Here is a 21,560-nt window from a genome sequence, read left to right on the forward strand (position 1 = left end):
AACCAGAGAATATATTCTATGCCATACATCATGGGTAATGATTTTCCAAAAATGATTTAAAAAGGAACCAATACACATGGTTTTAGTGTTTTCACCATATTTAATAGAAACACTATAAATGAGTTTTGATGACATTAGAATGCAACTAAAGACATTAAATGTAACTTATTTGTCCCATTTGATGAGGTGCGAAAAAGAGGGCTTTCTGGGATAAACAGGTTCCCAGAGCATATAGACACATTTCTGACTTTTCTCTGGTCAGAAGTGACTACAGCAAAAGATAGGCCTGAGAGGAGGTGAGAAGGAGCAATTAGGGATGGTGTATATCAGGGAACTTTGATCAACACCAACAAAGCTCATGGTTCTACCTTCACAATCCAGGAATAATCCTACTGTGCTGGTAGGTCTTGGAACATATTGCACCACAAGTGGGGAGGTGGTAAAGAGACTGCAGTGAGTGTCCTCCTTAACACATCCAAGAAGAAAGAGTCCCTCCTCTCCATCTATCTTGTCATTCTGTCTCTTCTCTTTCCGATAATTGTTACAGACACCAAAAGCCCAATTCCAAGAGTCCCCCACGTGAACCTCCCAATAATATTTGCCAGATGTGAAAGCCGGAGCCCCCCCTACAAGAAAACATTCAGATTTTGCAGTGATATCGGGATCATCTTGAGGGTCACATCCAACATTCATGCTTCTCAAATCTCCATACAGGAAGATATGACTATTGGTTCTTTCAGGCTGCAGAGTAAAATCAACTGCAAAAATAATTTTTAAAAAATATAGATACATGTAATTAATAGAAATTAGAATTCTTGAGGGAAAAGTTGTTCTACCAAGAGTTTACTTTACCAAGAAATTTGAAGTTACAAGGACAGGAGAATTGTGACTACAACATTTAATAAAGTATAAGGATGATTAATATTCTCTATAGGAAGAACAAAACCCTAAAAACAGACATTGAAAATTTATTGAAAACTTAAAAATTGAGAGTCGAATATGAGACCAGCCTGTTTTAATCCAGTCTCCAATGTAAAAGTGAAATATTTTATGCCCTGAATGCCCTTTAGCTATCAAGGTCATTATTATTAAAATATTTCTTGTTCTTAAATACTAGTGATATAATTTTGGCAAGAATGGGAAGATTTTAGCTTCCTCAAGCACCGCTCTAGATAACTGGATAAAAGTCCATATATTCAAATTATAAGTGGTAATTTAAGGCAGATTTTTGCAAAATCTTTTACCAGTCACTTTGTGGACATCCCTGCCAGCTCTAGACTGAAACCGAATTTTAGATTTTACACGTAGCTCTTCATGTTGTAACTAAACTGAAATTATCATTTCCATTTTTACTTCCTATTTACGTAATAATTCTTCTTTCTTTTTACATGTTAAATCAAAATTTTACATTATATCAATAATATATATTTATTTTAAGAAAGTACAAATACTCCAACAAACTGCAGTGAACTCTATTCTCTAATGAAATGTGTTTAACAATTCAAATGAAATACAGTAAAGAAATGTAAAATTTTTTTTTATTGATTTATTGATTTATTGATCATTCTTGGGTGTTTCTCGCAGAGGGGGATTTGGCAGGGTCATAGGACAATAGTGGAGGGAAGGTCAGCAGATAAACAAGTGAACAAAGGTCTCTGGTTTTCCTAGGCAGAGGACCCTGCGACCTTCCGCAGTGTTTGTGTCCCTGGGTACTTAAGATTAGGGAGTGGTGATGACTCTTAACGAGCATGCTGCCTTCAAGCATCTGTTTAACAAAGCACATCTTGCACCGCCCTTAATCCATTTAACCCTGAGTGGACACAGCACATGTTTCAGAGAGCACAGGGTGGGGGGTAAGGTCACAGATCAACAGGATCCCAAGGCAGAATAATTTTTCTTAGTACAGAACAAAACGAAAAGTCTCCCATGTCTACTTCTTTCTACACAGACACAGCAACCATCCGATTTCTCAATCTTTTCCCCACCTTCCCCCCTCTCTATTCCACAAAACCGCCATTGTCATCATGGCCCGTTCTCAATGAGCTGTTGGGTACACCTCCCAGACGGGGTGGTGGCCGGGCAGAGGGGCTCCTCACTTCCCAGTAGGGGCGGCCGGGCAGAGGCGCCCCTCACCTCCGGGACGGGGCGGCTGGCCGGGCGGGGGGCTGACCCCCCCACCTCCCTCCCGGGCGGGGCGGCTGGCCTGGCGGGGGCTGACCCCCACCTCCCTCCCGGACGGGGTGGCTGCCGGGCGGAGACGCTCCTCACTTCCCAGACAGGGTGGCTGCCGGACGGCGGGGCTCCTCACTTCTCAGACGGGGCGGCTGCCGGGCGGAGGGACTCCTGACTTCTCAGACGGGGCGGTTGCCAGGCAGAGGGTCTCCTCACTTCTCAGATGGGGCGGCCGGGCAGAGACGCTCCTCACCTCCCAGACTGGGTCGCGGCTGGGCAGAGACGCTCCTCACATCCCAGACGGGGCGGCGGGGCAGAGGCGCTCCCCACATCTCAGAGGATGGGCGGCCGGGCAGAGACGCTCCTCACTTCCTAGATGGGATGGCGGCGGGGAAGAGGCGCTCCTCACTTCCTAGATGGGATGGCGGCCGGGCAGAGACGCTCCTCACTTTCCAGACTGGGCAGCCAGGCAGAGGGGCTCCTCACATCCCAGATGATGGGCGGCCAGGCAGAGACACTCCTCACTTCCCAGATGGGGTGGCGGCCTGGCAGAGACTGCAATCTCGGCTCTTTGGGAGGCCAAGGCAGGCGGCTGGGAGGTGGTTGTAGCGAGCCGAGATCACGCCACTGCACTCCAGCCTGGGCACCATTGAGCACTGAGTGAACGAGGCTCCTTCTGCAATCCCGGCACCTCGGGAGGCCGAGGCTGGCGGATCACTCGCGGTTAGGAGCTGGAGACCAGCCCGGCCAACACAGCGAAACCCCGTCTCCACCAAAAAAATACGAAAACCAGTCAGGCGTGGCGGCGCGCGCTTGCAATCGCAGGCACTCGGCAGGCTGAGGCAGGAAAATCAGGCAGGGGGGTTGCAGTGAGCCGAGATGGCAGCAGTACAGTCCAGCTTCGGCTAGGGATCAGAGGGAGACCGTGGAAAGAGAGGGAGAGGGAGACCGTGGGGAGAGGGAGAGGGAGAGGGAGAGGGAGAGCTGTAAAATATTTAAAGAAATTTATTCTGAGCCAAATATGAGTGACCATGGTCTGTGACACAGCCCTCAGGAGATCCTGAGAACATGTGCCAAAATTTTTATGTAACCTTGGATTATTACGCTTCCTTCTGAGCATTGTTCCATTTATTCAATTTTTTATTTCTTATGTCATTCCATTTACCCAATATATAACTCTATACATGTGATCCCAGAACATATTTGTTTTTCACTATGTTTTACTCTTCATGTTATAAATTGGTCTATAAATAGAAACACAGATATAAAAGGGTTGCATAGTCATATGGTTCACTTCCTGCTGAAATGAAATAAAGATTTGATGAAGGGTAAAATATTACCCCCATGATTCTAACAAGAAGTAATACACTGTGGGAATTCTGCCAATGGGCTGACGCTCACCTCTGAATCCACTGAGCCTGTCCAGCAGTCCAGTGATGGGCCCTGCACTGAGCTCTGGATTCACAGGCTCAGACACTTGCAGCAGCGGGGACTCATACCTGCAAGGAGAAAGATACAGTTACCACATCTACAGCCAAAAAAAATACATAAAAATCACCACTTTTATTTAAAAGACATTTCATGAGAATCCCTTTAACCCACACATTTGCTAATTCCAAAATTATCATTTTATTTTTCAAATCCATTCTTATTCACAGTTCCTGATTTTCAAGCACGATGGAAAAGTCTATCTGACTGAGAATTCATTCGGATCTTTCTTCGTATTGCTCCAAATTAGTAAGGATCATTAGTCTTAAGACTGGGAGAATATTGAAAAATGAAATTCTGGGTTCCAGACCTCACCAGAAATTCCTGAAATCACTGTCTGGAAAAGTGGGGTTATTTTTAAGACTGCTGCATCTGTTGCTTCCTTCTCAAGGCCAGGGTGTTGAAACTTGCTCCAGGCAGGGAGATCTGCCTTTTATAGTTGAGGTTCTCTGGAGGCCTACACGGTTCAAACATTCCAAATAGTTTGTTTCATCCATTTTTCAGAATTATATATTTAAATATAAACTAGAAATCATCAACACTTTTCACTGCTAAGATACTTTCCCCTCTTCTCTCTGGCTTCCCCTGGTTGACTTTGTAGCCATGTAGTAAATGTAATATTTTCTCTTTCAAATATGAAGGCTTTTGAGCAATAAAAAGGAAATTAGGAATAGAGATGCTCACTTCCTTGATTTTTCTTTCATTTATTTATTTTTTGTTTTATTTATTTATTTATTTATTTATTTATTTGGTTTTGCAGAACTTTCATTGAGCTGCTTAATAAAGTCACTGAGTATGGCAACAAAATAGATGACTACATGGGGGTGGGGGATGGAGAAAGTACAACCAGCACAAGGCAGTGTCACTATCTGAATCCATTATACCTTCAATATCAAAGTTCCTGCTTGATATTTGTGGAAACTGAAAGCATCTGCTAAAATCTTGGTATGCACTCCCCTGTGTAATATGTCTCCAAAAGCCTGTAAAAAAAAAAAAAAATAGAAAGGCTTAGTGCTTTCCACAAGACGCATCTTCCACTAAGTTCAGTGTGAGATTTGGAGACAGTTTCTGAAGATATTTTCCTACAATGTTCCCTCCTGGAAAGCATTTTCTGTTTCTTTTCTCATGAAAATCCCAGTCTATCATATGTCATGAATTAATGTCCTGATAAAGTCTAAGTCTTGAAGACATTCTCTTTACAAGTGAAGGGAGAGGAGGGAGGCCCACAGAGTCTATGCTCTGTGGTAACCATAAAGAAGCTACTCAGTCATCTTCCCTAAGCCCTGTTACCAAAATGAGTGGACCCCAAAATAATATTAGTGTGATCCTAGATTCCCCAACTTCTCCATCATGCCATGTCTCCAAATTAGCCTAAATGCCAATGAATCACTTCTCATTTTATCCACTTTCAAAAATCCTAAATAAATCACTGACTTTTGATGGGAAATATTTCTTGGGGCTGTCTGTTACCTTAGCCATTCTACAAAGTTTTGTTGCTGGTGGATAAGGTAGGAGGGACCTTCGGTCTAGTAGAATCACTAGGAGAGGCTATACCTTCCCAACCAAGTAGCATTAGTTATCGAATCATGTTTTTGGAAACAAATAATGGAAGTGAAGGGGGAGACGGATTTCAGGAGAGAGGAAAAACACCCATGTATGTGAATGTTCAACATCATGATACCCCATGGTCAGTCCGTACCAGGAGTAGCTCCACATCTGCTTTATGGTACATTTGCTTCAGATCCTCATACATTCCTCTTAAAAGCTCCCTGGGATGTTCCATTCTGGCTTGGCTTTCATTGAGTTGCTGAAAAATGTCCTCGCCCTCCTTTCGCAGCCTCTCCAAGTGATGTTGCTCTTCTTCATGGAGAAATGCAGGCATCTTCTGATATTCAGCTCTGATTGCTTCTGTCCTTAAACTCACATAATCCTGCAGTGACAATTAGTCAAAATAGAAATGTTTTATCCATCTTCTCTTGAATTTCACTGATTCCTCTTAGCATTCTGAACACCCAATATTTTAATCCTCAATCTTGTCAAGTCTCAGATTCCACAAAATTTTATTCCTTTCCTTTTTTTTCTGTACTAATATCAACATAGTTGTTTCTGCCCAGTTACATTTACTTGATTAATGATAAAATGCTTTCTAAGATAGTTATATAAAAATGGATTTCTCTCTTCCACACCACATTTATAGAAAGAAAACACAGTTCTTGCTTAAGAATCAAACTATCGAGTTATATTGACTAGGTAAGAAACCATTATTTCTATTTTGGAGAATTGGGGCAAGTTATGTAAAACCATTATACGACAAATGATGACATGACCCAGACTAGCATTGTCAACTCAATGCATTTCACCCAGCATAACATATTCTAATAAGGTTTCATTTATTCTCTTCCAAACTCACACTAATCAGCAACATGGACTTTTTTGTGGTTCCTCAAACCCCCAAATAAATGCAAATTAAATATTACTGCACATGCTGTTTTCTATACCTAGAATTATTTTCATATATACATATATATATATATTTCTCATATATGTACTCATATATATATTTCTCAAATATAGGTATATATGGATATATGAGGAATATATACGTGTATCTGTGTGTGTGTATATATATATTCCTCAAATATATCCATATATATATATATATATATACCAACACCCAGATACACATACATATTCATATATTTATGAAGAAGAGGAAGGCAAACAGGAGGATATGTATATTTCCTCCTGATCAAGATTTTGTTTCAGTGTGAATTTTTCCATGAGCCTTTTTTCTGACCACCCTATTTAAAACTCAAACCCTCAGCCCCAGTCCCTGGCCTCTGTGCTCCTTTTCTACTTTCCTGCTTGATTATTCTCCAAAGACACTACTACACTCTAACACATCATGTACTTCACATATCTGCATGGTGACCATTTGCTTTTCTCATTTCCATTGCAAGATTTGTGTGTTTTCTTTCTTCTTTAATCCTTAATTTTCTAAGTTGATATTTGACATAGACTAGGTACTCATAAAATATCTTTCAATGAATTAATATTAGAATAAATTAATGAATTAATATTAGATATCATACCCTCAATATAAACATCCACAAAGAGAAAATCATTTCTAGAATTCTTCTCAAGTCCTTAGAGTTCTCCTTATATTAAATACTAGTTCCCATATTTCTCACATATTTATGTCTTCATCAAGACACAAGTCTACATTTCTCACCACTTTTCCCATTATGTGTTATGACTTACTCAATATTAATTAGCGCTGATATTTAATTTCATGCTTTCCCTAAGGTTGTGCTCTTGCTCCTTCTGCCTGAAATTTAGCTCACATTTCAATATAGGTGCCCACCAGGATTCAAATTCATACTGACTCAGCCTTAGAAGGGTCACCTGAAATTTCCATGACTGACAAATAACACTTGTATCCAGAATTTATCCAGGCAGCCCATTGGGAACAGTGTGAAATGGCCCAGTTTCTTGTATTTGTTGGGGGTATTGCTATAGGTTTGTATGGAAACAGATGAGCATGCTTGGGTAACATCTGTGGTCTGATTAGACATCCTACCAAAGAGTCACACTAACTTATATAAAAAATTAGGGTGTTTTTTTCTCAAGTGTTTTTTCCTTGTTTATTGAATTCCAGAAACATTATGGGTTGAGATCAAGTTCCTGTTTTAAGAGTCACCCATTTGTTCACTATAAGTTCCTGCAGAAGGTAGAGTAATACGGTACTAACCTTCCAGCATCTGGTTCTGGTGGTTTCTGTGTTCAGGTTTCTGAGATTTTCACAAGCTTTTTGCCATAAAGACTGCATTTTTTTTAGGAGCTCCTCCTGCAAAAGAGCCATGAATTGAAGCACAAGTGAGGACAATAAAGTATCACTCACACTCTGATATACGAAGGACCCAAAATGAGAGACAAATTAGCCCACAGAAAATAGAGTTTGCTTTGTTTCTCCTCATGTTTGTCAAATCTGAGAGGTGTGAAGTCAAGGAAGCTCATAACAGACATGCTTAAGGGGACACAGAGATGGCATCATCCAATCTCCAAGGAAATAGACTTACAAGAATTTCATGTGTCCTGTATAGAAATAGATCTTCAGAGGCATCACTTACCCGGCGTTCCTCAGCAGCCCACTCAATGGGACAGTGTCTGTGATTCCGGTGCTCCTGAGAGTTGGAGCACAGCCAACAGAGCCGGCTCTTGTTCACTTCACAGAACATCTTCTTTGTCTCTCTGTGCATCCCACATATTTGCTCCTCAGAGCTAAGGAATTGCCAGAGGCTGGCTTTTCTGGCAGTGGAAGCCATGTTCTTCAAACAAATGTCAGTTTTGAGGTTTCTCTGCTGTATTGTCTTCTTGCATTTAGAGCACTGAGCAAGAACTGCCATGTCTCGCCAGTTGAGGTAGAAACAGGGCCGGCAAAAGTTGTGCCCACAGTCTATGGTGACTGGGTCTATGAAGTAGTTCATGCAGATGGGACAGGTGAGTGCCCTCTGGAAGACTTGCAAGATTCCAGAATTCATGTTTCTGATGAAGAAGAGAGAGCAGCATGTCATTTTGGGGTCTGGGTTGGTGAAAATCTGTGAACATGTGGTGATATGTGGTAGCTATATTTTCTTCTTGACAGTGCTCATTAAAGCGGAACAAACTATTTCCTCTGTAACAAAAATGAAAAATTCATACACAAAGAGAGTCCTTAGGCTTTTTAGCAGGCACTACTGACTAGATGACTCGCAACCTCTTCTACTCGTAGTTCCTGCCCGCAACATAATGCAAATCTGTTCAAAAACCTATTCCCTGGATGTCGATATGAAACTCGGGTTTTAATCTTAAGTGGTCTAGAATAAAACATGCTTGTCCCTATTTCTCTTTCAAATAACTACTGAATGACTATGGGAGAGCAGTAGAAAACCTACATTGGGTAACAAAACATGAGAAGATGGTCAGAGGGCGCTATGACATATTTTTAGAGAGAGGGACCCAGAAGCCGGCTCTTTAAAACAAAAACAACCCCAGAACAAACCAACCGACCAGATAAACAAAAACACAGCAATTAAACCAGTCTAGGATCACTAGGAGATAAAATAAATAATGAAAAATATTGGGTTTATTTTTCTTATGGCTTAAATTAACTTCTTCTTTGGGCTACTCCAACTATGAACTGACATATAGTCAGTTTTTTAAAAACTGAAATATATATAATTATGTTACTATGGTATTATGGTTAATTTTAGGTGTTGACTTGACTAGATCAAATAATACATGGAGAATTGGTAAAGCATTATTTCTGGGTGAGTCTGTGAAGGTGTTTCCAGAGAGACATGTAAGTTGGTGAGCTGAGTGGGGAACAGCAGCCCTCAATGTGGGTGGACACTATCCAATCAGCTGGTAGCTCAGACTGAAGATAAAGGGCAGAGAGAAGGCAGTTTCCTCTCTTTCTCCTGAAGCTTATTCTAACTCAGCCAGGATATTGGTATCTCCAGGATACTACCTTAATGACAGCCTATGTTCAACTTCTCAGACTCCATAATCAAGGGAACAAATTTCCCTAGTGGACTTCCTCTCCTGTACAGTGTCATGTGTAGAGTGAGGACAGATATATGATCTGAGGGACGCATTAGACAGTCTCCTTATTGTTTGAACATCATAGGGTACACTTACACAAACCTAGATGGTATAGCCTACTACACACCTATGGTATACAGTATAGCATATTGTTCCTAGGCTACAAACCTGTATGGTATACGATAGGCAATTGTACCACAATTGTAAGTATTTTTGGTATATATATATAGTTATGTACACATCCTATGGTTCTGTCTCTCTGGAGAACCCTGACCAATACAAACTGTAATCTTTGCCTTGGCCGTTTGAAGTCCTTTACCTTACTCTCTTTTACTAAACACTGTTGAATTTAAGTGCCAACAGTGAAAATTTAAGACTTGCAAATATTTTTCAGAGGTCTTCTGAGCCATTTCAAGGAATTTTTCATAGTTTCATCTGAGGTAAGCCTCAATTAAAATGACAACTAGTATCAAGTATCAAATCATTCCTTATACAGTTATCTGCTAAACAATTGTGTTTTGATTTCTAAGCTAGGGCATTTTGGAGAGCATTCTTATTTCCTTTAGTATCACCATTTTTAACTCACCATTGCCTCAGTAACTTAAAATCATGTCTAAAAGCTTAAGGTTATGAAAGCACAACATTTACAGTATTCAATAATTATCCTTTTTTACTTAATTAAGTGTACCAATATTAGTACATGCAGTACACATATATATGTTTTAATGTGAATTCCATATATTCATGATGCATACAAATCTATTGCAGCAAACACTAGATATCTAAAATTTTTCAAAAATATATTAAACACTTTTGGAACACACAAAATGACAACAATTAATAACCTCATGTCATAAAATGAATAGCAATACTATGAGTTACAAATAAGATCATTAAGTAAGTTTAGTCAGATATTTTTATCACTGTAATTTACTATTTTAAAGGAAGAGAGAAATAATTTTCTCCATATAAGTTGCACTCACCCCAAGGTTCTATGAATGTTTCCTGCAGTAATTCTTCCAAGAAAAAGTTCTTTTAAGTACTCCCCAAGATCAGGAGCTCATTCCTTGCAGAGTTGACTTTCAGAGGTCACCTGAATGCAACTAACTCGAAGTGCTGTCCTCCTCTGGAGAAATATGAGCTTGTCTCTTCTACTTCCTTTTATGTGAATCTTTGAAGACCACACCCACCTCTTTAGTGATATTTAGGGTATTAAGAAAGGTGGAGACAGCAGAGATGATTAGGTTTATGCAATATTTAGTACACGCCTTTTCATCACTGATTAAATTAGCATCACACTATCATTGTAAAAACCACTGCCTGAATGAGGCATATCTATCATCAATCTTATCAGAGTAAATATGCTAGAAATTAACTAAAATTGATTAATACTGTTTCCTGAGTTTCTTCCCAAGGCACAAGCATTCCTCTAAGTGCACATTTATTTATTTATACCAAAGAAAGTTTCACCCTCTGGAATGCAGTGGCACAATCTTAGCTCACCACAGCCTTGAATTCCAGGGCTCAAGTAATCCTCCCACTTCAGCTTTCAAAGTAAAAAAGACTAGAGGTTTATGCCATTGCACCTAGCTAATTTTTCATTTATTCATCAAAAATATTTTTAAAATTATTAGGTGATTACATGTGTTACAGTGACCAGCTGGATTAGAATTAGATTAGGTTTAAAGCGATGGAAAGAATCTGGGAGAGGGGGCAGAGTGTTGGTTGTTAATTAGCACATGGATCAAAGGAGATTACTGATGTGTTTAGAAGCCACAACATTGACAGGATAAAAGCCGGAACTAACAATCCAATTGTAAATCTCTTCACTGTGGTATTTTCTGCCATTTCTGCTCCATAAGACACACCTTAACCACTTTGTCATGGTATCTGCAGTATTCTATTTTAGTCTAAATAGCATTTTCTCTCAAATGCATTCTGTTTCTCTCTCCTTCATCTTCCCTCCCTTCTTCCTTCCAGCTGTATTTTTTCACTAGAGAACACTAGTAGAATGTTCTTCCAAATTTCAGATTTCAGATACGCATCTGTAAAATAATCTTATGGAGACACATTTTAGTTGCTACTGAATAATTGGTTGTTTTCATAGGTTCACAGCATTACTACTGTCCTCCAAAAAACGGTTTCCCATTTCCACAGCTAATCTCATCATTGACTCTGCCATCCAAGTTTATTCTATGCCACTCTGGAAGAATCTGGAAAAATACTTAAAATACATTTTAAGTATTCATCATGCACATGTATTGTATTTCATTTTATATAGTTCGGGTGAATCTCTTTCTCCACTAATTGTTTGCATCTCAATTCTTGTATCATGTTTTTTGAAACACAGAAGTCGTTATTAATATAAACCGACTAATTTTTTTAATTGTTAATTTTTGTCCTGGTTAAGAAATCCTTATGAGAATATTGTATCAGGACTTGAATCTTCAGGACTTGAATCTATTTGGAAATGACTGTGTGTGTTTTGAGGTAGGAGTCAATATTTAGTTGTTTTTTAAAATTCAATTAATCCAGCATTGTTCTGACCACCTTGTGTATTTCAATGTAGAAGAGCACACTAATGCAGGATTGTTTATCTATGTGGTGAGAATTCCGAAATGAAGCCCAGCATGGAAGATCAAATAATATTAACTCAAAGGATAGATTAGTAAAATGAAATGTGATGGATAAGTGCAATATAGTTAGGTAAAGAGAAAGAAAAACATTTCCCAGCTATCAAGACTTCACTCCAAGCTTTTGCATGAAGCAAAAGATCCCGACTCTCTTCCATTGATTTTAACTCCATTCAGACATGTCTGTCATCTATTATTTCACTCAGTGGCAGTCAGAAATAAAGAAAAAAAAAAAACAGAATATACTGTATGCCATGATCACGAATAATGATTTCTCAAAAATTAATAAAGAACCAATACATATACTTTTAGTGTTTTTACCATTTTTAATAGTAACACAATAAATGAGTTTTAATAACATTAGGAGGCAATTCAAGACATAAAACAGAACCTATTTGTCCTGTTTGATAAGGCACAAGGAAGAGGGCTTCCTGGAATAAAGGGATTCTCACAGCAGATGAACACATTTCTGATTTATCTCTGGTCAGAGGTGAATACACCGAAAGATAGGCCTGAGAGGAGGTGAGAAGGAGCAATTAGGGATGGTGTATATAAGGCAGCTTTGGTTAACATCAACGAAGCTCAGTTCTAGCTTCACAATCCAGGAATAATCCTATGCGGCTGGTAGTTCTTGGGATATATTGCAGTGTAAGTGGGGAGGTGGTAAAGAGACTGCACTGAATGTCATTCTTGACACATCCAAGACTAAAGAGTCCCTCCTCTCCATATATATTGTCATTCTGATTCTTCCCTTTCCAATACTTATTACAGACACCAAAGGCCCAATTCCAAGAGTCCCCCACATGGACCTCCCAGTAATATTTGCCAGAGGTGAAAGTCTGAGCACCCCATGCAAGAAAACTTGTAGGTGTTGCAGTGATATGGGGCACATTTTGACGGTCACATCCAATACACATGCTTCTCAAATCTCCACATCGGAAGATATGACTGTTGGCTTCATTATGAGGCAGAGTAATATCCACTGCAAAATAAATAAATAAATAAATAAAAGAGAAAGAAACAAAACATGCATAGACATGTGTCAATAAGCAAAAATTGTTCTATCAAGAAGTTAATTTACCAGGAAATGTAGAGTCACAAGGACACTTTTGCTTCTAACTTCTAATAAAGCATAGAGATGATTAACTACAAGACAAACAAAACACTAACCACAGGTATTAAAAATGTTTTGAAAACTTACTTATTGAGAGCCAAATGTAAGACCAACTTCTTTCAATCCAATTTTCAAAGCAAAATTTGCACATTATATGCCCTAAATGCTATGCTATTATCAAGATCATTATTTAGAAATGTTTCTTATTCTTAAAAACTAGTGCTATCATTTTGGAAAGAATGTGAAGATTTTCAGTTACTCAAGAACTGCTCTTGATGACTGGATAAAAATCCGTAAGTACATGTCGTAAGTGACAATTTAAAGCAGATTTCTGTAAAATCTTTTACCAGTCTCTCTGTGGTCCTCCATGCTAGCTTGGGGCTGAAGCTGGATTTTAAACTTATCATGTAGCTCTTCATATTGCAATTAAACTGAAGTTCTTCTTGTTTGTAATTTTACTTGTATTCACAAAATGGTTTCTTCTTTTTATGTTTACCCATTAACTATTTTTTTTTGCAATACATGATACATATCCATTTAAAAAATTAAAAACCCTCAGCAATCCCCAGTAAACCATAATCCCAAAAAAAGTTCTTAGCTGTTCAAATGAATACACTAAGGAAATGTAAAATTTTGTATTTAACATTAAATAACTCACCTTCATTCTGAGCATTGTTCCATTTGCTCCTTTTTTAAATTTGCTACACTACTCTTTTTTCCCATTACATTACTCAGTACATATGAGGCCAAAATGTATTTGTTTTTCACTATCTTTCAAACTTAATGCTATAAATCTGACTATACAGACACAGATACAAAAGGGTTGCATGATTATGTTGTTCACTTATGTCTATAAAGAAGTAAAATATTTGATAAATGGTGAAGTATTACCCATGTGGTCCTAACAATAATAATATTTAGATAGTGGGAGTGCTGCCTGTGGGTGGAGACTTACCTCAGAATTGGATGAGCCTGTCCCTCAGTCCAGTGATGGGCCCTGCACTGAGCTCTAGATTCAGAGGCTGGGGCATGTGCAGCAGCACGGACTCACTCCTGGAAGGAAAAACCTGCAGTTACAACATCTACAGCCATAAAATAAACAAAAACCACTATTTCTATTTAAAAGACAGTTCATGAGAATCCTTTGAATCCACAAATTTGATTACTCAAAAATTATTCCTTCCTTTTTGGAATTAATTTCTATTTACAGTTTCCAAATTTTAAAGCATAGTGGGAGAGTCTGAGTCAGAATTCAGTCTGATCCTTCTTTTTTTTCTGCCCCACATGTGTAAGGTTCCTTAGCCTTATGGCCTTGAGAATATTTGGAAATGAAATTCTGAGTTCCACTTCTTGGCAGACTCCCCTGACATCTTTGTCTGAAATAGCGGGGTTCTGGGGAGACTGCTGCATCTGCTGCTTCCTTTTCAAGATAAAGAATGTGAAACTTGTTCTAGGCAGCTAGATCTGCCTTTTAGAAACAAGCCTCCCTAGAGACTTATACAGTTCTAATACTCCACAGTTTTTTCAACCTATTTTTCAGGACTGTTAACTGATATGTATGTAGGTATGAACAACAAATCATCAACTTTTTCACTGCTGAAATACTTCCCCCACTTCTCTCCTGCTTCCTCTGGTGACTTTCTCACCATCCACAAAACAAAACTTTATCTTTCACCTATGCAGGCTTTTAAGCAATAAAACAAAATCAGGAATAAACATTTTTTTTTATTTCACTATTTATTTATTTATTTATTTAGTGTTCTTGTCTTTTCTGGTGTGAGAGTGAAAGCAGATGCAAAAAAAAGGTAGTATCAATATCTTAATCATTTATGCCATGACTTTGGTAGAGCCTGCTTTGATATTCATGGAAACTGAAAGAATATATACTAAAATCTAGGTAAACACTCACCTGTGTAATATGTCTCCGAAACCCTGTAAAAAAAAATAGAAATATGTAGGACATTTCACAAGATGCACCTTTCACTAAGTTCAGTGTGAAATTTCGAGTCAGTATCTAAAGATATTATTTCCCTACCATCTGGAAAGCATTTTCTGTTTCTTCTGTAATGAAAATCCCAGTTAGTCGTTTTGTCATTAATTAATGTCCTGGTAAAGTCTGAGTCTTGAAGACATTCTCTCCAGAAGTGAAGGGAGAAGAGGCCCAGAGAGTCTATGCTCTGTGATAACTTCAAATAACCTACCCAGTCATCTTTCCCAGAACCTATTACCCAAATGAGTGGACCTCAAAATAATATTGATGTGAGCCTAGATTCCCAAAACTTCTGATCTTGCCATGTCCTCAAATTAACCTAAATGTAAATGAATCACTCACTATTTTATACATGTTAAACAACCCAAAATATATTATTGACTTAGATGGGGAATAGTTATTGGGGCTGTCAGCTTGACCATTCCACAAAGTTTTGTGGCTGGTGGATAAAGTAGGAGGGACCTTTGGCCTGGTAGAATCCCTTGGCGGGGCTATACTCTCCCAACAAAGTAGCATTAGTTATGCGAATGTGTTTTTGGAAACACATCATGGAAATAAAGGTAGGGAGATGGATTTCAGCCATGAGGAATATACTTACACATGTGAATATTCAAAAACCTGAAACCACATTGTGAGTTTGTACCTGAAGTAGCTCCACATCTGGTTTATGGCACATTTCCTTCAGCTCCTCATACATTCCTCTTAAAATCTCCCTCCTATGAGCCATTTTGGCTTTACTTAAATGAAGTTGATGAAAAATATCTTTCCCCTTCTTTTTCAGCATCTCCAAATTATGTTTTTCTTCTTCATGGTGAAATGCAGCCATCTTCTGATACTCAGCTCTCATAGCTTCTAGCCTTAAATTCACATAATCCTGCAGTGATAATGGGTTAGTCAAAAGAGAAATGTATATATCCATCTCCTACTAAATCTCACTGATTCTGTTTGTCACTCGAACATCCAATAATTTAAACCTCAGTCTTGCTAGTTCTTAGAATCCACAAAATTTTGTTCATTTCCTTTCTTTCTGTATAAAAATCAACATAGATGTATCTGACCAATTACATTAAATTTATTCAAGATAATGTGTTTTCTCAGATAGTTGGAAATAAAAAAACACAATTTGAATTTCGCTATTCCAGCCAATATTTATGGAAAAGTAAGAACAGTTCATGCTTAAGAGTTGGAGTATAGAGCTATAGTTACTAGAAAGGAAATAATTATTTCTATTTCTGAGATACGTAACAAGTTGCTTAAACTCATTATATGTGAAATGACCTTAGACTAGCATGTCCAGCTAAATGCATTTCACCCAGCAAAACCTATCTTAATAAGGCTGCATTTATGATTTGGCCATCTTTGTCTCTCTGAATTCATTTCCTTCCATTCTTTTTCTAAGTTATCCCATTCTGAAACATAGACTTCTTTGTGGTTCCTCAGGCCTCCAAATATACACAAACTCAAAATTACTGCATATGCTGTTCTCTCCAACTAGAATTTCACACACACACACACACACACACACACACATATACATATATACACGTTCATGGTCCACATATATGTATATACATACACACATTCGTGTTCCCTCTCCTCTTCAAAATTTCGTTCAAATTGAATTTTTCAGTGAGTCTTTTTTCTGACCACCCTATTTAAAAATCAGACACTAATCTCCAGTTTCTGGCCTCTATTGTCCTTTTCTACTTCCCTGCTTGATTATTCTCCAACAAAGAACCTACCACACTCGAACACATCATGTATTGCACATATTTGCATGTTGACCATTTTTGCCTCTCTCATTTGGATTGTACGATTTGTGAGGACAAAGATGCTTTCTTTCTTCTATACTGTCAAATTTTCTAATTTAATATTCAACATAGACTAGGTTCTTATGAAATACTTTTCAAAACACTAATATTAGCTATCATACCCTCAAAGTATACATCCACAAAGAGAAAATCATTTTTAATATTTCTCTGAAGTCCTTAGAGTTTTCCTTATATTTAGATACTAGTTCCCATATTTTGAGCATGTTTGCATGTCTCCCTCAAGACACAAATCCATATTTCTCACCACTTTTCTCATCATATGTTATGTAGTATTCAATATTAATTAGTTGAGATTCTTAATTTCATGGTTGCCCTAGATTTCCCCTGTCACTCTTTCTGCCTCAAATTTTCCATACAATTCCAAATACTACTTGTCCACCAGCATTCAGATTAATGCTGACCCAGGCTCAGAAGGTTCACTTGAGCTTTCCATGACTGCCAAATGAATCTTGTGCCCAGCATTTATCCAACCAGCACATATAGAATGCTGTGAGATGGCCCAGTTTCTGGTATCTGTTGGTGTATAGCTACAGGTTTGTATGAAAACAAACCAGCATGCTTTGGGTGACTTCAGTAGTTTTCTTAGAAATCCTTTCTAACAGTCATACTATTCTATATAAGAAATGAGGTCACTTTTTCTCAGTGTTTTCTTTTTTTTTTTTTATTGACTCCCAGAAACATTAGAGTTTGATAACAAGTTCCTATTTTAAGAGTCACCCATTTGCCCACCATAAGTTCCTGGAGAAGGTAGAAGGTAGAGTAGTACAGAACTAACCTTCCAGTGGCTGATTCTGGTGGTTTCCACATTCAGGTTTCTCTGATTTTCACAAGCTTTTTCCCATAAAGACTGCATTTTCTTTAAAAGCTTCTCCTGCAAAAGAGCCATAAATTGAATCACCAGTGAAAACAATAAAGTAACATGCAGACCGTTTCATAGGGAGCGGGCTGAGAATGAGAGACAAGTAAGTCCCTAGGAAATGGCATTTCTTCTATTTCCCTTCTTCTTCGTCAAATCTCAGAGGTTTGAAGCTAAGAAAGCCCAAAAGTGAGCTGCTTAAAGGGACTCAGGTTTGGCTTTACCCAATCTCCAAGAAAATAGACCCACAGGAATTTCATGTGTCATTTATAGAAATAGATCTTCAGAGGCATCACTTACCCGGTGTTCCTCAGCAGCCCACTCAATGGGACGGTGTCTGTGATACCGGTGCTCCTGAGAGCTGGAGCACAGCAAACAGAGCAGGCTCCTGTCCACTTCACAGAATATCTTCTTTGTCTCCCTGTGAGTGCCACACATTTGCTCCTCAGAGCTCAGGAATAGCCAGAGACTGGCTTTTCTGGCAAGGGAAGCCATCTGCTTCAAATGAATGTTAGTTTTCAGGTTTCTCTGCCATGTTGTCTTCATGCATTCAAAGCACTGAGTAAGAATTGGGATGTCTTGCCAGTTGAAGTAGAAACAGGGCCTGCAAAAGCTGTGCCCACAGTCTATGGTGACTGGGTCTATGAAGTAATTCATGCAGATGGGGCAGGTAATTTCCATCTGGAAGTCTTGCGAGATTCCAGAATTCATGTTTCTGAGGAAGAAAGAGCAACATGTCATTTTGGGGTCTGGGTCGATGAAAAGTTTCGGAACATGTGGAGATACCTGATAGCCCTATTTTCTTCTCTTGACAGTATTCATTAAAACACAGCACACTATTTATTCTGTAACAAAAATAAAAATCTCACACAGAGAGAGTCTCTCGGCTTTACAGTAGATATTACTGACTAGATGACTCACAACCCTTTATACTTTTATTTCCTGTCTGTAACACAATACCAATCTATTCAATTTCCCGTTTTCTGAATGTTGATCTGGAAATTGGGTTTGATTCTAAGTGGCCTAGAATAAATTGTAGTTGTTCCTATTCTTCTTTCATGTAACTGCTGAGTATGAAAGACTGGGAAAAACTGCCTTGGCCAAGGAAATATGAGAAGATGGCTAGAGGGTCCTATGGCATATTTTTAGAGACACAACAGTGGGGCAGCAAACCACCATGGCACATGTTTACCTGTGTAACAAGCCTGCATGTCCTGCACATTTATCTTAGGACTTAAAATAATATGAAATTAAAGTAAAATAAAAAACCAAACCAAAACAAAATAGAAAAACCAATCAACCAACCAAATAAACAAAAAAACAGCAATTAAACCAATTTTGGTTTAATAGAAGAGAAAAACATAATTAAAGATATGGGGCCTTTTTATTTTCTCGTGGATTATATTAACTTCTCCTAGGGATACCCAAACTCTGAACTAACATATAGTAGGATTTTTGTTAAACTCAGAGAGGTGTAATTACATCTCTATGGTGTGATGGCGAATTTTAGGTATCAGTGTGACTGGATTAACCAATACCTAGGGAACTGGTGCAGCATTGTTTCTGGGTGAGTCTGTGAAGGTGTTTCCAGAGGAGAGAGACATGTGAGTTGGTGAGCTGAGTGGGACCATCATCCCTCAATGTGAGTGGGCACCATTCAATCAGCTGGTAGCTCAGATAAAAGGAAAAAGCCAGAGAAAAGGCAATTTCCTCTTTCTTTCTCCTGAAGCTGGTTCTGAGGCTTTCAGCCTTGAGCTCAGTCAAGATACCGGTATCCTCAGGACATCAGCTTAAAGACAGCCTATATTAGAACTGCTCAGACTCTATAATCAAGCAAACGAATTTTCCTGATGAATTCCCTCTCAGGTAGAGTCATGTGTAGCTTGATGACAGATATATGTTCTGAGAAATGTGTAAGGAGGTTTTATTTATTTACTTTTTGAGATGGAGTCTCACTCTATCATCCAGGCTGGAGTGCAGTGGTGCAATCTCGGCTCACTGCAATCTCCGCCTCCAGGGTCAAAGCGAGTCTCCTGCCTTAGCCCCCTGAGTACCTGGGATTACCGGAACACCTCACTACACCTGGTAAATTTTTTCATTTTTTTTTCCTTTTTTTAGTAGAGACGAGGTTTCATCATATTGCCCAGGCTGGACCTGAACACCCGGCCTCAAGTGATGTGCCTGCCACAGCCTCCCAAAGTGCTGGGATTACAGGCATGAGCCACTGTGCCCAGCCAGGCGGTTTTATTGTTTTGACATTATAGACTATACTTACACAAACCTAGATGGTATAGCCTGCTACACACCTATGGTATACAGTACAGCCTGTTGCTCCTAGGCTACAAAACTGTACAGCATGTTCTGTACGGTATACTGTAGGCAATTGTAACACAGTGGTAATTATTTAGTATGTAAACATATTTAAATACAGAAAAGGTACAGTAAACACACTGGTATTATAATCTTATGTGACCACCATGTGTGGTTTGTGGTTGACTGAAATGGCTCATGAATGTATCTCTACATGTATACATATACATCCTATCATTCTGTCTGTCTGGAGAGCCCTGACTAATATATAAACTATGGTCTTTGGCAATTTTAAGTCCTTTTCTTTACTCTCCTTTATTTGATAACACTGCTGAATTTTAGTGAAAGAAATGAAAAATCTTAGAATTGTAAATATTCTCCAGAGGTCATCTAAGTCATTTTAAGGAATTTTTCATAGTTTAATAAGATTAAGACTCAAGTGAGATGGCAACCACCATCACGTATCAAATTATATCTTATAAATTTATTTGGTCAAAAAACTGTTTTGATTTCCAAACCAGGATGTTTTGGGGAGCTTTCTCATTTTTTTCAGTTTCACTGTTTTGCATCTCTCATCATTACCTTGCTAATTTAAAGTTATGTCTAAAAGCTGAATGAATGAATTAACATTCATTAATGTCTTCTCAATTCAATTGTTTAATATTAATGCACTCATTACACATATATTTACACACACTTATGTGCACATATATGTATTAATATCAACTCCATATGTTCATTATGCATACATATCTGTTGCAGCAAACACTAGATATTTCCATTTTTTCAAAACTATATTGAAGATAGAAAATGCAAAATAACAACAATTAGTATCCTCATAATTCATAAAATCTATAGTAAGAATATGAATTACAATGGTATCATTGTGTAGATTTAAGATAATGAGATATTTTTAACACTCTAATTTATTATTTTATAAAGGAAAGAAGATATAATTTTATCAATATAAGTTTCACTCACCGCTGGGTTCTTTGAATGGTTCCCACAGTGATTCTTCCAGAAATAATTCTGTTAAGTACTCCTCAAGTTCTGGAGCTCATTCACCGCAGTACTGACTTTTAGAGGTCACCAAAATACAGCTCCCTCTAAGTGTGCTCCTTCTCCTTTGGAGAAAACTGAGCTTGTCTCTTCTATGTCCTTTTATAAGAATCTGTGAAGACCACACCCACCTCTTTAACAGGGTGGAGTATTGAGAAAGGTAGAGGATAAGACGATTAGGTTTATGCAGTATTTAGAACACACCTTTGCACCACTGATTAAATTATCATCACTCCTTCATTCCAAAAAACCGTGACTGAAGTGAATCATATGTAACATAAATCCTATGAGATTACACATACACTAGAAATTAACTAAGATGCATTTTATACTGTTTATTGAGTTTCATCCAAGATGCAGGCATTCCTCTAAGGGCATATTTATTTATTCTAGAGAAACTGTCTCCTTGTGGAGTGCAGTGGTACAATCATAGCTCACTGCAGCCTTGAATTCCAAGGCTCAGGGGATCCTCTTGCTTCAGCCTCCCAAGTAGCTAGGACTACAGTCTCACACCATCCCACTT

At 38.3% G+C, this 21,560-nt stretch overlaps 2 pseudogenes across 2 annotated transcripts, besides 1 other annotated feature; both read right to left on the reverse strand.

The window, feature by feature from the left end:
* Positions 1-86: 86 nt before the first annotated feature.
* TRIM51EP (tripartite motif-containing 51E, pseudogene) lies at positions 87-10,312 on the reverse strand (annotated as a pseudogene). Its single transcript, NR_146921.1, has 7 exons — positions 10,227-10,312; positions 7,791-8,205; positions 7,412-7,507; positions 5,360-5,590; positions 4,545-4,640; positions 3,574-3,671; positions 87-758 (listed from the first exon to the last, which is right to left on the reverse strand). The product of NR_146921.1 is annotated as a tripartite motif-containing 51E, pseudogene (transcript).
* Positions 2,466-3,463: an enhancer, noted in NCBI's record as "H3K27ac-H3K4me1 hESC enhancer chr11:89716992-89717989 (GRCh37/hg19 assembly coordinates)". NCBI's record gives its function as "activates a minimal SCP1, AML or CMV promoter by ChIP-STARR-seq in primed H9 embryonic stem cells {active_cell/tissue: H9 hESC(primed)}" and the evidence as "EXISTENCE:reporter gene assay evidence [ECO:0000049][PMID:30033119]".
* Positions 10,313-12,182: 1,870 nt separating the features above from the next.
* Positions 12,183-21,150, reverse strand: TRIM53AP (tripartite motif containing 53A, pseudogene; annotated as a pseudogene). Its single transcript, NR_028346.1, has 7 exons — positions 20,960-21,150; positions 17,969-18,383; positions 17,588-17,683; positions 15,624-15,854; positions 14,900-14,922; positions 13,946-14,043; positions 12,183-12,858 (listed from the first exon to the last, which is right to left on the reverse strand). The product of NR_028346.1 is annotated as a tripartite motif containing 53A, pseudogene (transcript).
* Between the last annotated feature and the right edge of the window lie 410 nt (positions 21,151-21,560).

Source organism: Homo sapiens, chromosome 11, assembly GCF_000001405.40.
Source record: "Homo sapiens chromosome 11, GRCh38.p14 Primary Assembly".
NCBI classification, from domain to species: Eukaryota; Metazoa; Chordata; class Mammalia; order Primates; family Hominidae; genus Homo; species Homo sapiens.